The sequence below is a fragment of the Homo sapiens genome, chromosome 5, assembly GCF_000001405.40.
Source record: "Homo sapiens chromosome 5, GRCh38.p14 Primary Assembly".
Taxonomy (NCBI): Eukaryota; Metazoa; Chordata; class Mammalia; order Primates; family Hominidae; genus Homo; species Homo sapiens.
Genome location: NC_000005.10, coordinates 151,687,936 through 151,701,513, shown reverse-complemented (window position 1 = coordinate 151,701,513; position 13,578 = coordinate 151,687,936). Strand labels below are relative to the sequence as shown.

General features: G+C 47.1%; 1 annotated feature.

The window, feature by feature from the left end:
• Positions 1,234 to 2,055: an enhancer, noted in NCBI's record as "H3K27ac-H3K4me1 hESC enhancer chr5:151079020-151079841 (GRCh37/hg19 assembly coordinates)". NCBI's record gives its function as "activates a minimal SCP1, AML or CMV promoter by ChIP-STARR-seq in primed H9 embryonic stem cells {active_cell/tissue: H9 hESC(primed)}" and the evidence as "EXISTENCE:reporter gene assay evidence [ECO:0000049][PMID:30033119]".

The following is a 13,578-nucleotide window of genomic DNA, read 5'->3' as shown; positions in this document are numbered from 1 at the left end:
AGTCCCAGCTACTCTGGAGGCTGAGGAAGGAGGATCACTTGAGCCTGAGAAGTCAAGGCTGCAGTGAGCCATGATCGCACCACTGCTCTCTAGCCTGGGCGACAGAGTGACACTCTGTCTCAAAAAGATAAAAATTAAAATAAAAAATAAAAGTATAAAATAACACATGATTATATTCTCATAAGAAATTGAAGTGCCTGCACAGTGGCTCACGCCTATAATCCCAGCAATTTGGGAGGTCGCAGCAAGAGCATCACTTGAGCCCAGGAGTTCAAGACCAACCTGGGCAACATAGAGAGACTCTGTCTCTAAATGAAAAAGAAAAGAAAAGAAAGAAATTCAAGATAGAAGTATAAATAAATAAATATAAAAGTCCCTCCCCTTCACCTCCATTTTCACTCCAATGTATCCCTTCCCCAGAGGCTAACATTACTTCTGGTGTTTTGTGCATGCATGGCTGATCTTGATCTCTGCTGCTAGCCTTTCTGTCTCTCTCTCTCTCTCTGACTCTGTGCATGGGTTCACTGGGTCTCAGTCCCTCTAACCTTTGTTTCTTCTGTTTCTCTGTGTGTCTCTTTCTCTGGCCTCTCTCAGTGTCCCTATGTCTCTTTCCCTTTCTATCTCTGCCTCTGCCTCTCACTCTGTCTCTTTCTTCATCTCTGTCTCATTCTATTTCTGCCTCTCTTATCAGAATACAGTTTTTAACAGTTAAAAACATGACTCATAAAAAATGAATAAAAATGAATAAAAAATGAGCACATGTTAATGATTTTTTTAACCCATTAATGAGGGAATAAGCAGCATGGTAAAGTTGGTTCAAAGAGAATTCAAAAAGAGATTATACAGCTACTGCATTGAAAGAATGCTGGAAAAAGGCTGCTGGGTAATATACAAAACCGGTTAACGCCCTGCAAGGCATTTGCACTGTCACCTCTGGGGTTCTTTTTTTTTGTTTTGTTTCTAATGGACAGAAACCTGCAAGTTAACATGTAACTTCAAAGTCAGAGCCCTCATCAATAGTAGGTAGCACAACCCCTAGAGAAGATGATCCCTGGATGGACTTGTCAGACCATGTTCCAGTCTAACACTGAGAGGACATGCAGTCACCCTTTTGCTTTGTTGCTAAGTTTCAGGTAAGTTTTCTTTGCATTTGTTTCTGTGTCTGTCTCATCTCTCTGTCTCTCTGTCTCCCACCTCTGTCTCTCTCTCTTTTTTTTTTTTTTTTTTTTGAGACGGAGTCTTACTCTGTCGCCAGACTGGAGTGCAGTGGCGGGATCTCCACTCACTGCGACCTCCACCTCCTGGGTTCAAGTGATTCTCCTGCCTCAGCCTCCCGAGTAGCTGGGGCTACAGGCATGCGCCACCACGCCCAGCTAGATTTTTTTTTTTTTGTATTTTTAGTAGAGATGGGATTTCACCATGTTGGCCAGGATAGTCTCGGTCTCTTGACCTCGTGATCTGCCCACCTCGGCCTCCCAAAGTGCGTGAGCCACTGTGCCCGGCCATTCTTTTCTTTTCTTTCTTTTTTTTTTTTTTTGAGATGGAGTCTCTCTCTTTCACCCAGGCTGGAGTACAGTGGCATGGTCTGGGATCACTGAAACCTCCGGCCCTCAGGTTAAAGCGATTCTCATGCCTTAGCCTCCCGAGTAGCTGGGATTACAGGCGCGTGCCACCACATCCAGCTAAGTTTTATATTTTTAGTAGAGATGGGGTTTCGACATGTTGGCGTGGCTTGTCTCAAACTCCTGACCTCAGATGATCCACCCGCCTTGGCCTCCCCATGTGCTAGGATTACAGGCATGAGCCACCATGCCTGGCCTCTGTCTCTCTCTTAATCATGGCAGACTCTCAGTGTCTGTCTCTCCCTTCCACTGTCTGACTCTGTCTGTCTTCCTTTGTCTCCTTTCTCTGTCTTGATTTAACAAACTTATTTTAATCACTTTCCCTTAGGGGTTGATCATGAGCCAGGACCTGCACCAGGAGCTACAGGGAGAGGACAGAGCTGAATCCAACATGCCCTTGACACTCTTTGTTTCTTTGCAGAATTGAAAGGAAATCAAATGGAAGTTCTGAGTGCTGGGAGAAGAGGAGCTGAGGGTGTGGGGACGTGGCAGGGAAAGGGAGGGCCAGCAAGCTGCAGTGGGCTGGAGTGAGCTCCCAGCTTCGGCTGGCTGGGCGGAGATGATTTCACACCACAAAAATGTCTGAATCAGGAGAATAACCTAACTTGGGATGGGGCTGGGAAGCGAGCCGTTCAGTGGGAGACGGGGGAGCTGGAGAGCTCAGCATTGGGCCAGATGGGGTGGCTGGCTATGATTTGTCCTGACCCTTGGGTCTCCCTAATGATCTTAGGAAAGAAACAATTCTTCTCCCATGCTGCAAGTGAAAGGGCAGAGTCCAGCCTCTAGAGAGATAGCAAGATAGACTTAGGGCTGCAACCCTGAAGAATCATGAAGTCTCTGCCAGCAAACTCAGGGATTTGAGTAAGGAATTCAGGGGAGGGAGAGAAGCAGGAGACAGAAAGAGGAGGAAAACACTGAATTTAATGGTCAAAAGGCCTTTAAGTTACATGGCCTCGTGAGTTTCAAGCATTTTATTAGCTGCAGAATCCTCGTTTACAATTAACATAGCAAAACAACAGCTGCCTCTAAGGGGTTCTCAGGAGGATCTGAACCCCATCATCTTGGTTCTCATCACCCACTGCCTGGAAACTATAACTTAACCCAATAGCCTCATTTTACAAATGAGCAAAATGGCTGGGCACAGTGGCTCACGTCTGTAATCCCAGCACTTTGGGAGGCTGGGGCAGGTGGATCACTTGAAGTCAGGAGTTCGAGACCAGTCTGGCCAACATGGTGAAACCCTGTCTCTACTAAAAATACAAAAATTAACTGGGCGTGGTGGCGGGTGCCTTTAATCCCAGCTACCCGGGAAGCTGAGACAGGAGAATTGCTTGAATCCAGGAGGCAGAGGTTGCAGTGAGCCGAGATCACACCATTGCACTCCAGCCTGGGCAACCAAGTGAGACTCCATCTCAAAAAAAAAAAAAAAAAAAAAAAATGAGCAAAGTAAGGCCCAGAACGAGAAAAGGATTTGCCCATATCATTTAATGATTGGGTGAGGAGCCCAGGTCTCTCGAATCCTTGTCCGGTGCTCATTTTGTTTATCTATCTATCTATCTATCTATCTATCTATCTATTTATTTTTGAGACAGGGTCTCGCTCTGTTGCCCAGGCTGCAGTACAGTGGCATGATCTCAGCTCACTGCAACCTCCACCTCCTGGATTCAAGTGATTCTCATGCCTCAGCCTCTTGAGTAGCTGGGATTAGAGGCATGCACCACCACATCTGGCTAATTTTATATTTTTAGTAGAGAAGGGGTTTCACCATGTTGGCCAGGCTGGTCTTGAACTCCTGACCTTAGGTGATCCCTCTGCCTTGGCCTCCCAAAGTACTGGGATTACAGGCATGAGCCACCGCACCTGGCAGTTTTTTTTTTCTTTCAAATAGGGTTTCACTTTGTTGCCCAGGCTAGAGTGCAGTGGCAGGATCACACCTCACTGCAGCCTTGACCTCCTTGGGCTCAAGTGATCCTGCCACCTCACCCTCCTGACTAGCTGGGATCTCAGGCCCATGCCACACCAGGCTAATTTTTGTATTTTTTGTAGAGCCAGGCCTCCCTGTGTTGCCCAGGCTGGTCTTGAACTCCTGGGCTCAAGTGATCTGCCTGCCTTGGCCTCGCAAAGTGCTCGGATTACAGGCGTGAGCCACAGCACCTGGCCTCTGGTTTTTCCTTTCGGGGAGATGCTGGGCTAATAGATGGAGTCTCTTCCTCCAGCTTCGGGGTGGACATAGGGACTGCCAGCTGCCTGCCTGCCCAGAGTGACCAAACTGAAAGCTTCCAGCAAGCAGGCTCGAGTCTTCCGTGGCTTCTGCTTGGATCTTGGAACTCTCCCCCTTCCCACAGAGCCCTGGAGAGCTTGCGATGCTCTGGGTCTTTGGATAGATCACCCCCTCTCTCCAGGGTTCATTTTTCTTCACCTGGAGAGCCAGTGGGCTGAAAATAAATGAGTGCATTCCAAACTTTTTTTTTTTAATTAACGAAACCGCCTTTGGAAATGAAATCTTACAAGACTATACTTTCAGGGATTATTTGTATAGTTCGTTACTAGAGAAGTTTCTCTGAAACGTAAATTAAAATTTTATTAAAAATTAAAAAATAAAAACAAAGTACAAATAAAAATAAAAAAGAAATGAAATTTTAGACAAAAGCCCAATATTTCAAACAGACAAAGGCAGTTCTGTCGTGGTTGAAGCAAGGACGGACGAGGGGTCTGAAGATCCGCCTCCTTGGCCTTCTTTCTGTCCTCTTAAGACTGCTGCATGAAACTCCCAGAGCTCCACAGAATGCAGTTGGAAACTGACATGGGAAATCTCGAAGAATCATGACAAGAAGCTCCTGTCTGAGGAAAGGTACAGGAGCCAGGAGTGGGAGAGATGACATGAAGCCGCAGTGCTGGATCAGCCTCAGATGACAGTGAGGGCTGCCTTGTCTCAGGCAGTGGAGAAGAAGAGACGGGTGGGGGAAGGGGATGGGGCTGAGCTGCTTAGTCCAGATCGCCCTTCCTCGTCAGCCATCTGCCCCAGCCCAGAGACCCCAGAGGACGGAGCGTTCAGGCTACCTCTCAGGCTGACTGAGTCATGCAGCATAGGCTGCCACGTCTCTGGGCTGGCGGGGCCGTCATTATTCCTGGCCTCACTGCAGCTAAATTGAAGAAACGTTTGGTTTGTGGGCCACGTCAAGGAATGTGTAAGAGCTGCCACGTTGTCGGGTCTGGGTTATTGGGCTTTTCCCCTCCTTCAGAGAAGATTTCCAGGCGTGTGGGTGGGGTTTCAGAAGAAAATTGATGCCTGCGTGTGAGTGTTCCCTGGACCTGGACCAGCAGCGGCAATATTACAGACCCGGGGGTTGGGGCAGACTGAGCCAATCTGGTGCCGAGCTCCTCCGACCCTCCCCAGAGCAGCAGGGAGCCCTGCACCGTCAAAGTTATGGATACAGAGCCCTGGAAAAAGGCTGAAGGGCTGTGAAACCAATAGTACAAATCTTTAACCTTTGGAGAGTGATTGGCCACATCAAGAGCCGAAGGTGTTTTCTCAGTGTGGTTTAATAAAAAGAGCAGTAGGTCGAAGAGTTAGTTAGCTTGAGTCAAGCCCCAGCTCTGCTATTTATTGGCCGGGAGACCCAGGCCAGCTCACTTTACCTTTCTGAACCTCAGTTTCTTCTTCAAACGAGGGTGTTGGAGCAAATAAACATTCCCCCAAGGAGTTTGTTAGGAAACGAAGTTCTGTGGAATGCATTAAAAATTCATGAAAAAGAGGACTCTGTGATAGCTTTAACAGAGTTCAACAGGTTTCTTTTCAGCAGACATTTTCAGAGCTTTTAAGGTTTCAAGGTGCCTCAGGAATATCCACGAGGAAGGTAGTGAGTGCTGCATTTCACAAACGTGCTTGAACCCAGGGTCCCCCTATCTTTCTGGAATATGTTATAGGACTAATATTTTGTGAAACACACTTTGGAAAATGTTGAATTAGATAATCTACTTATAAGATAGCTGACATTTATGAAGTGCTTCATTCATGTAGCAGTGGGCCAAATGCGTTACATATATGATCTCATTTAATCCTCACAAGCACCTCACAAGAACTTTACACTTGAGGAAGCTGAGGCTGGAGGTTGATAACATGCCTCAAGTCTTCTAGAGTTAAATAACTTTGACCCAGGACCCAAGCCCAGAGTTCTGACTCAAAAACTAGGCCTCCTAAACATCCTCTTATATTTGCTGACTCCCTAAAATCTATGTTCACTTGAATCTTACACTGACTTTGTACCCAGGAGAGTGAAATATTTTAATCATGCTCATTTTACAGATAAGAACACTCAGGTTTGGAAAGGAAAAGTGAGCTGCTTAAGGTCAGAGTATAAGCAGGGCCTCAGGGCACAGGTCCTACTAAGGGAAGAACCCAAATCAGAACTCAAATGAGTGCTTCTTTCTCCTCGGGTGATGCTATGGTTGGAACATGTACCCCTAAAAGCATGTGTTGAAAACTTAATCCTCAATGCAGCAGTGTTGGGAGGTGGGGCCTATCGGGAGATGCTTAGGTCATGAGGGCTCTGCCCTTACGAGTTGATTAACATCAATTAGGGTTTGAGGTTGCAAGTTCTATCTCTTGCTCTCTTTCTCTCCCTCTCTTTGCCCTTCTACCATGGCATGATACAGCATGAAGACCTTTGCCAGATGCTAGTCCTCAATCTTGGACTTCCCAGCTCCAGAATCATGAGCCATTAAATTTCTGTTTATTATAAATCACCCAGTTCCAGGTATTCTGTTATAACAACACAAAAACAGACTAAGACCAGTGGGTTTGTGTCAACATGTCAACATGAAAAGGTGCAGCCAACGCATTATTAACATTTGTCACCTCAGTGGAGAGGGAGCCTCTGTGAGAAGGCGGTGCCTTGGTAAACTCTTACTGGGACCCTGGGTGGAGGCAGTGGGTGCAGTGGAAAGAGTCTTGACTGTTAAGAGTTTGGGAGCTTTCATTTCAGCCCCACCATGGGCCAACTGTGTGACTTTGGGCAAGTCTGTCTGTCTGCCCGCCCAAGCCCAAAATGGGCTTAGTGAATCCTGACCTTTCTACTTTGTAGACTAAATGTGCCACTCAATAAGATTAGGGTGATAAAAGTCCTTTGTGGGCCAGACACGGTAGCTCACGCCTGTAATCCCAGTACTTTGGGAGGCTGAGGTGGGCAGATCACTAGGTTAGGAGTTCAAGACTAGCCTGGCCAACTTGGTGAAACCCTGCCTCTACTAAAAAATACAAAAAATTAGCCAGGCCTGGTGGCACACGCCTGTAATCCTAGCTACTCAGGAGGCTGAGGCAGGAGAATTGCTTGAACCCAGGAGGTGGAGGATGCAGTGAGCCAAGATTGTGCGACTATGCTCCAGCCTGGGTGACAGAACGAGACTCCGTCTCAGAAAAAAAAAAAAAAAAAGTCCTTTGTGAGCTACAAAGAGCTAAAGGAGAAACCTTCAACTGCTCAGTGGGTGTGTTGCAAGTGGGGAGGGTGCTGAGGTTAAATTTCATCTTCCTCTGTTTGGCCTTGGCCTGGTTGGTGGATGCTCTGCTTCGGGGACCCAGGGCCAGATGACAATGGGTTCTTTGTGCCCTTCAGACAATGGGAAGGGCTGCCTGGGGAAAGATACAGTAACAAGGCAACAGGCTGAGTCAGCCTCCAATGTGCTTGAACCTTCTTAGCTTGGCAGCCTTGACATTCAGCCAGCCACACAAAGGGTATATTTGAGAGTTCTGATACATAATCCCCATCCCAAAGAGGTCAGCCTGCCCAGTCCCTCCCTCCGGAGATTTGGAACAGGCCAGAGCTGGCTTCAGCCTGGGAGAGAGAGGCCCCAGGCCTAGCTGTCCACACTGTAACCTTGGGCTCTTTAAACCTCAATTTTCCCAGCCACACATGGAAAATCTGGGATTGAATAGGGCTAAAGGGCCCTGTCAGTTCTAAGCTTTGAAAAAATAGAAGCGATCCAATCTGAGCTTGAAGGATGAATGGGTTTGGGTTTGGGGCCAGTGGGGGCAGGGAGGCAGCCATGGCCAGAAGGGCAGAATGGGCAGTTGAGTACCTGGGGAAGTCATGGAGAGAGGGCTCTGGAGTGGAGCTACCTGTGTGTGTTCCTGGCTTCTCCACTGTGGGACCTTGACCAAGTGATTTAGTTCTCAGAACTTTTCTTTACTCATCTTTAAAATGAGAATGGTAATTGTACCCATCTATGGTAGACAAAGTAATGGCCCCTCCAAAGATGGACGTGCCCTAATCCTCAGAACCTATAAACAGGCTATCTTACATGGCAGAGGGGGCTTTGCAGATTAATTTAAGGATTTAAAGGTGGGAAGATTATTTTAGGTTATTTAGGTGGGCCCAATGTAATGACAAGGGTTCTTAAAAGTTGAAGGCCAGAGGGTCAAAGTCAGGAAAAGATGTCAAGGCAGAAGCAGAGTTGGAGTGATGTGCTTAGAAGACAGAGTGAGGGTTCACAAGCCAAGGAATGAGGGTGGCCTCTAGAAACTGAAAAAGGTAAGAAAATAGGCAGGGCACAGTGGCTTATGCCTGTAATCCCAGCACTTTGGGAGGCCCAGGCAGGCAGATCACCTGAGGTCAGGAGTTTGAGACCAGCCTGACCAAAATGGAGAAACCCTGTCTCTACTAAAAATACAAAATTAGCCAGATGTGGTGGCACATGCCTGTAATCCCAGCTACTCTCGAGGCTGAGGCAGGAGAATTGCTTGAACCCGGGAGGTGGAGGTGGCGGTGCGGCAAGATTGCACCATTGCACTCTAGCATGGGCATCAAGAGTGAAACTCTGTCTCAAAAAACAAAACAACAACAACAAAAAGGTAAGGAAACAGATTCTTTCCTCAACAGATTCATCCTTCCTCCGGAAGGAACCCAACGACACCTTGATTTTAGGACTTCTGACCTCCAAAACTATAAGATAATAAATTTGTGTTGTTTTTAAGTCACCAAATTTGTGGTAATTTACTATAGTAATGATAGAAAAACAAATATTCTGCATAAGTGTTGTTGAGTTAAATGAGATAATGGACATAAAGTGTTTTGCCCACCATCTGCTTTGTAATATTGAATATGATTGTCTGCCTTCTCAGTTTAGTGACAATTGCTCCAATGAAACCTGGTCCCTCATGGGCCCTCAAGTTCTCCTATGTAAGTTTTGTTGAGTTTTTTTAACCCGAAAGGCTCACTCAGGAGTTATGACCTGGAGATCTGAACTGCTGAGATCCCGATGCTGTTTTTAATGCATGGCCTTAGGGGATGTTTCTTTGTCCGGCTTTTATTTGTTTAACTTTATGCTTGGTTGCTTTCCTCCTTGCCAGAAGCCAAATCCACAGAGCCTTCCTGCTCTATTTCCAGAGTTCAGACCTCTTGCTCCCTGTGCAAGTATTCCTGTCCCTGTGTAGGAATAGTTTACCTGGCCCCAGTCCAGCTCCCAGAGATGGTTCATCAGGTGGTCCATAGGCTGGTCTCAGAGCTAGTGACAGAGTCTCTGGAGTCAGTGAGCAGAAAGACAAGCAGGTTCTTGGTGTGGTTAAGAATCTGGTTTTTAGCCAGGAGTCAGGAGACCTGGTTTTGAGCCCCAGCTTCCCTGAGTGATAGAGGCCTCAGTTTCTCCATATCTACACTATAGGTTCTAATCCCTACCCTAACTCTTTCACAGGACTGCTGTGGCATTCACTGAGATAGTGGACAAGAAAGTATGTTGAAGTGGCTAAAAGGGTGTAAAAAGGGTAGGAATGAACAACAGGAAAATGGAGGAGAAAAGGACGAGGAAGAACGGGAGGAGATGGGAAATCTCCCCCAGTAGGTAATTCTAGCCACACTTTCAGTTACTTGAAAAAGCCAAGCTCTCCTCACATCAGGGTTTTGGTGCTTGTTCTCCCCTCTCCTTGAGTACTCTTCTCTCAGCCCTTCTCATTGACTCATGCTTCAACATCTTCCTCATCTTGCCTCCTCCAAGATGCCTATGCTAATGACCCTATCTGAAGTCATCCTCCATTGCTTTTTCATTTCATCTTCCTTGTTTCTTCCATAGAACTGATCACAACCTGAAATGAGCTCACGGCCTGCCTTCACCTATTGGAATGTAAAGTGCAAGAGGGCAGAGCCTTGTCTGTCCTATTTATTGCTATATCCCCAGTGCCTGATGCAAAGCACAATAAAGACTGAATGAACGAACGAGGTAGCTGATGTACTGGGGGTGTACGGAGCCTGGATGGCAGGCACATGTGGACATTTCCCAGGCAGTCCCTTGAGTTCTAAGGCTGTGGCTGGGGTGCTAGGTCAGGAGGGCAGGATCAGGGTAAAGTGAGAAGTGCCTAGAAGAGCATAGCTGGAGAGTGGTTGGAGAGGGCAGTGGGCAGGCAGCAGGGACCCCAATATACTGATGGATTGCTTTACAAGATGAAAAGCTGATTCAGCCTAATGTTGGATCAGCAACATTCTTGACTCGGGAGAGGGGTGTATGGTCTGAAGTCCACGTATGTCAGAGCTGGAGAGGAGTTGAGGGGGAAGTAGCGTGCAGTAGTCAAGCACTTGGGCTCTGGTGTCCCTTAAACCTGGATTTGAATCTCTGATTTACCATATACTTGGTGCATAAGCTTGAGCAAATTATTGATATGAACTTCATTTTCCACATTTATAAAATGGGAATAATAACAGTTCCAGATTTATAAGAGTTAAGTCAGACAATATATGCAAAGAGCTTAGCAGGTGCTTGGCACATAGTAGGTGTTTAATAAATGCTGGCTCTTATTACTACTATTCTGCTGTCCAACCTATTTTATAAATGAAAAGGTGTAGGGTCAGGTACAATGGCTCATGCTTGTAATACTAGCACATTGGGAGGCCAAGGCAGGAGGATTGCTTGAGGCCAGGAGTTCAAGACCAGCCTGGGCAACCTAGCAAGACCTTGCCTCTATTAACACAATTAAAAAGAAAGAAAGAAAAGGTGTAGTTCAGAGGGGCAGGGATGGGCCCAAAGTCACTCAGTGACTCAATAGCAGAGTGGGACTCACACCCAGGTCTATCACACCTGGCTGCGTTGTGCTTCTCTCCCTTCCTATAAAGCCCTTGGCAGGTGGCAGGAAGACCAGCCTTAGTCCTAGTGGTCTTCCTTTCTAGGTCAGAGTCATCCTTGCTTCAGAGGCTCCTGTTGCCCCAGGATGCTTTTTTTTTTTTTTTTTTTTTTTTTTGCCTTTTGAGGTGGAGTTTCACTCTTGTTGCCCAGGCTGGAGTGCAATGGTGCTATCTCAGCTCACTGCAACCTCCGCCTCCTGAGTTCAAGCAGTTCTGCCTCAGCTTCCCAAGTAGCTGGGATTACAGGCGTGAGCCACCAAGCCTGGCTAATTTTGTATTTTTAGTAGAGACGGGGTTTCACTATGTTGGTCAGCCTGGTCACCGAACTCCTGACCTCAGGTGATCCACCCACCTCTGCCTCCCAAAGTGTTGGGATTACAGGTGTGAGCCACTGCACCCAGCCATGTGCTCTTATCCTTAGATATAAAACCTACCAAGTTTTCTTTCTGGGAGTGATTCTGGCTCAGGGTGTCCCCACAGAGACCTGGAAGTGGCCCTCAGGAGGGATCTCTCTTCCAGAGCTTCAGCCCAGCCCCAACCAGACTTCCACTTCCTGAACTGAAAGCCACATGGGAACACCAGCCAAAAACTGGGAAGAGTTCCACTGGTTCATCCTCATCAGAATCATCATTTTAGTTTATGAATAAAAATACAAAGCTTCTGCTAATTTTAGTCCCATAATGCCTGGGAGCTATAGCAACCAATCCTATAAAAATATACATCTGTCCGGATGGCAAAACAGATATGTGGAGAGTCCACCAGCACCCTGTATTCAGCAGCCAAAAGCACTTGGCTTTTGAACCAGGGTGAGAGGCCTTGGGGGGTCTTTATTTATTTATTTAGAGACGGAGTCTTGCTCTGTCTCCAAGGCTAGAGTGCAATGGTGCCATCTCGGCTCACTGCAACCTCCGCCTCTTGGGTTCAAGCGATTCTCCTGCCTCAGCCTCCCATGTAGCTGGGATTACAGGCACGTGCCATGATGCCCAACTAATTTCTTTTGTATTTCTAGTAGAGACAGGGTTTTGCCATGTTGGCCAGCCTGGTGTCGAACTCCTGACCGCAGGTGATCTACCTGCCTCAGCCTCCCAAAGGGCTGGAATTACAGGAGTGAGCCACCATGCCTGGCCTTATTATTATTATTATTATTTTATTATTATTACAGACAGCATCTTGCTCTGTCACCGAGGCTAGTCTCAGGCTTCTGGCCTTAAGCAATCCTCCTGCTTCAGCCTCAGAGTAGCTGGGACTCCAGGAACATACTACTGCACCCGGCCCTTGGGGGTCATTTGGAGAAGACTCCTTCTTGGGTGTTTGTGGATTTTTCTGCAGAGAAAGTTCATTGCTTCCTTTAGGTTCTCAAAAGGACCAAACACCCTAACTTTTATATTCCACTTTAGTGGTTTGAGGGTCTCTTGGGTGTGGGGCAGTGTTCCAGGCTGGAACCCTAGTAAAAGACAACCCTCTCTTTTTTCAGATGGGCAAGTCGGAAGTTCATATATTTATTGAATAAAATATTGCAAGCCAGCTTTGTGTGGGGCACTGGTCAACATGCTGGGAACAAAGCAGTAAACAGACATGTGAAGTCCCTGCTCTCACCAAGCTTCTGTCTAGTTGGGGAAACAAATGGTTTCTGAGAATGACAGGTGATGGGGAGGAAATAAAACAGTGTAAGGCGATGAACTGTGCCTGTGAGAGAGGCAAGTAGATTGAGTGGCCCTAAGGAGGTGACATTAGAATAGGCACAGGAAAATCAGGTGGAAGAGTGTCTCTGGCAGAGGTAAGAGCAAATGCAAAGATACTGGGCATGGTGGCTCAGACTTGTAATCCCAACACTTAGAGAGGCCAAGGCGGGCGGATCACTTGTGGTCAGGAGTTCGAGACCAGTCTGGCCAACATGGTGAAACCCTGTCTCTACTAAAAATACAAAAATTAGCCTGGTGTGGTGGTGCATGCCTGTAATCCCAGCTTCTTGAGAGGCTGAGGCAGCAGAATCACTTGAACCCAGGAGGTGGAGGTTGCAGTGAGTTGAGATTGCGCCACAGCCCTCCAGCCTGGGCAACAAAGTGAGAGTCTGTCTCAAAAAAAAAAAAAAAATCCTGGGGTGGGAGAAGCTTTGGGGTAGTTGAAGGACTGGAAGGAAGTTGGCATGGCTGGAGCAGCGTGGGCACAGAGGACAGTGGTAGGAGGAGAGAATGGCAAGAGAGACAGGGGCCACAGCGGATGGAAGTGTATCATGAGGGTGTTCTCTGCCTTCTTCCTTTCCATGGTATTCAAACCCAACCCATGCTTCCAGGTCCACCTCTTTCAGGAATCCACCAATCTGAAGCCCTGGGATAAGCCTTAGAGTCTGTACCACTCATGTAAGTGGGTGTATGTGTAAGGCACAACCTTTCAGCAAGATCCAAAGCTCCTTGAATAGTGAGTTATCTCGATTGATTGTTCACAGTCACAGATTGAATTCCTTGTACTTTTTTTCCCTTCTCAGTTCTGCACTTAACTCGTCTAAAAAAATTAAAAAAGAATTTAAGAAACCACAAAGCTAAGCTGGGTGCGGTGGCTCACGCCTGTAATCCTAGCACTTTGGGAAGCCAAGGCATTCGGATTGCCCAAGCTCAGGAGTTCGAGACCAGCCTGGGCAACATGTTGAAACCCCATTTCTACTAAAAATACAATAAATTAGCTGGGTGTTGTGGCATGTGCGCCTGTAATCCCAGCTACTCTGGAGGCTGAGGCGCGATAATTGCTTGAACCCGGGAGGCAGAGGTTGCAGTGAGCCGAAATCATACCACTGCACTCCAGCCTGGGCGACAGAGTGAGTGAGACTCTGTCTCAAAACAAAACAAAACAAACAA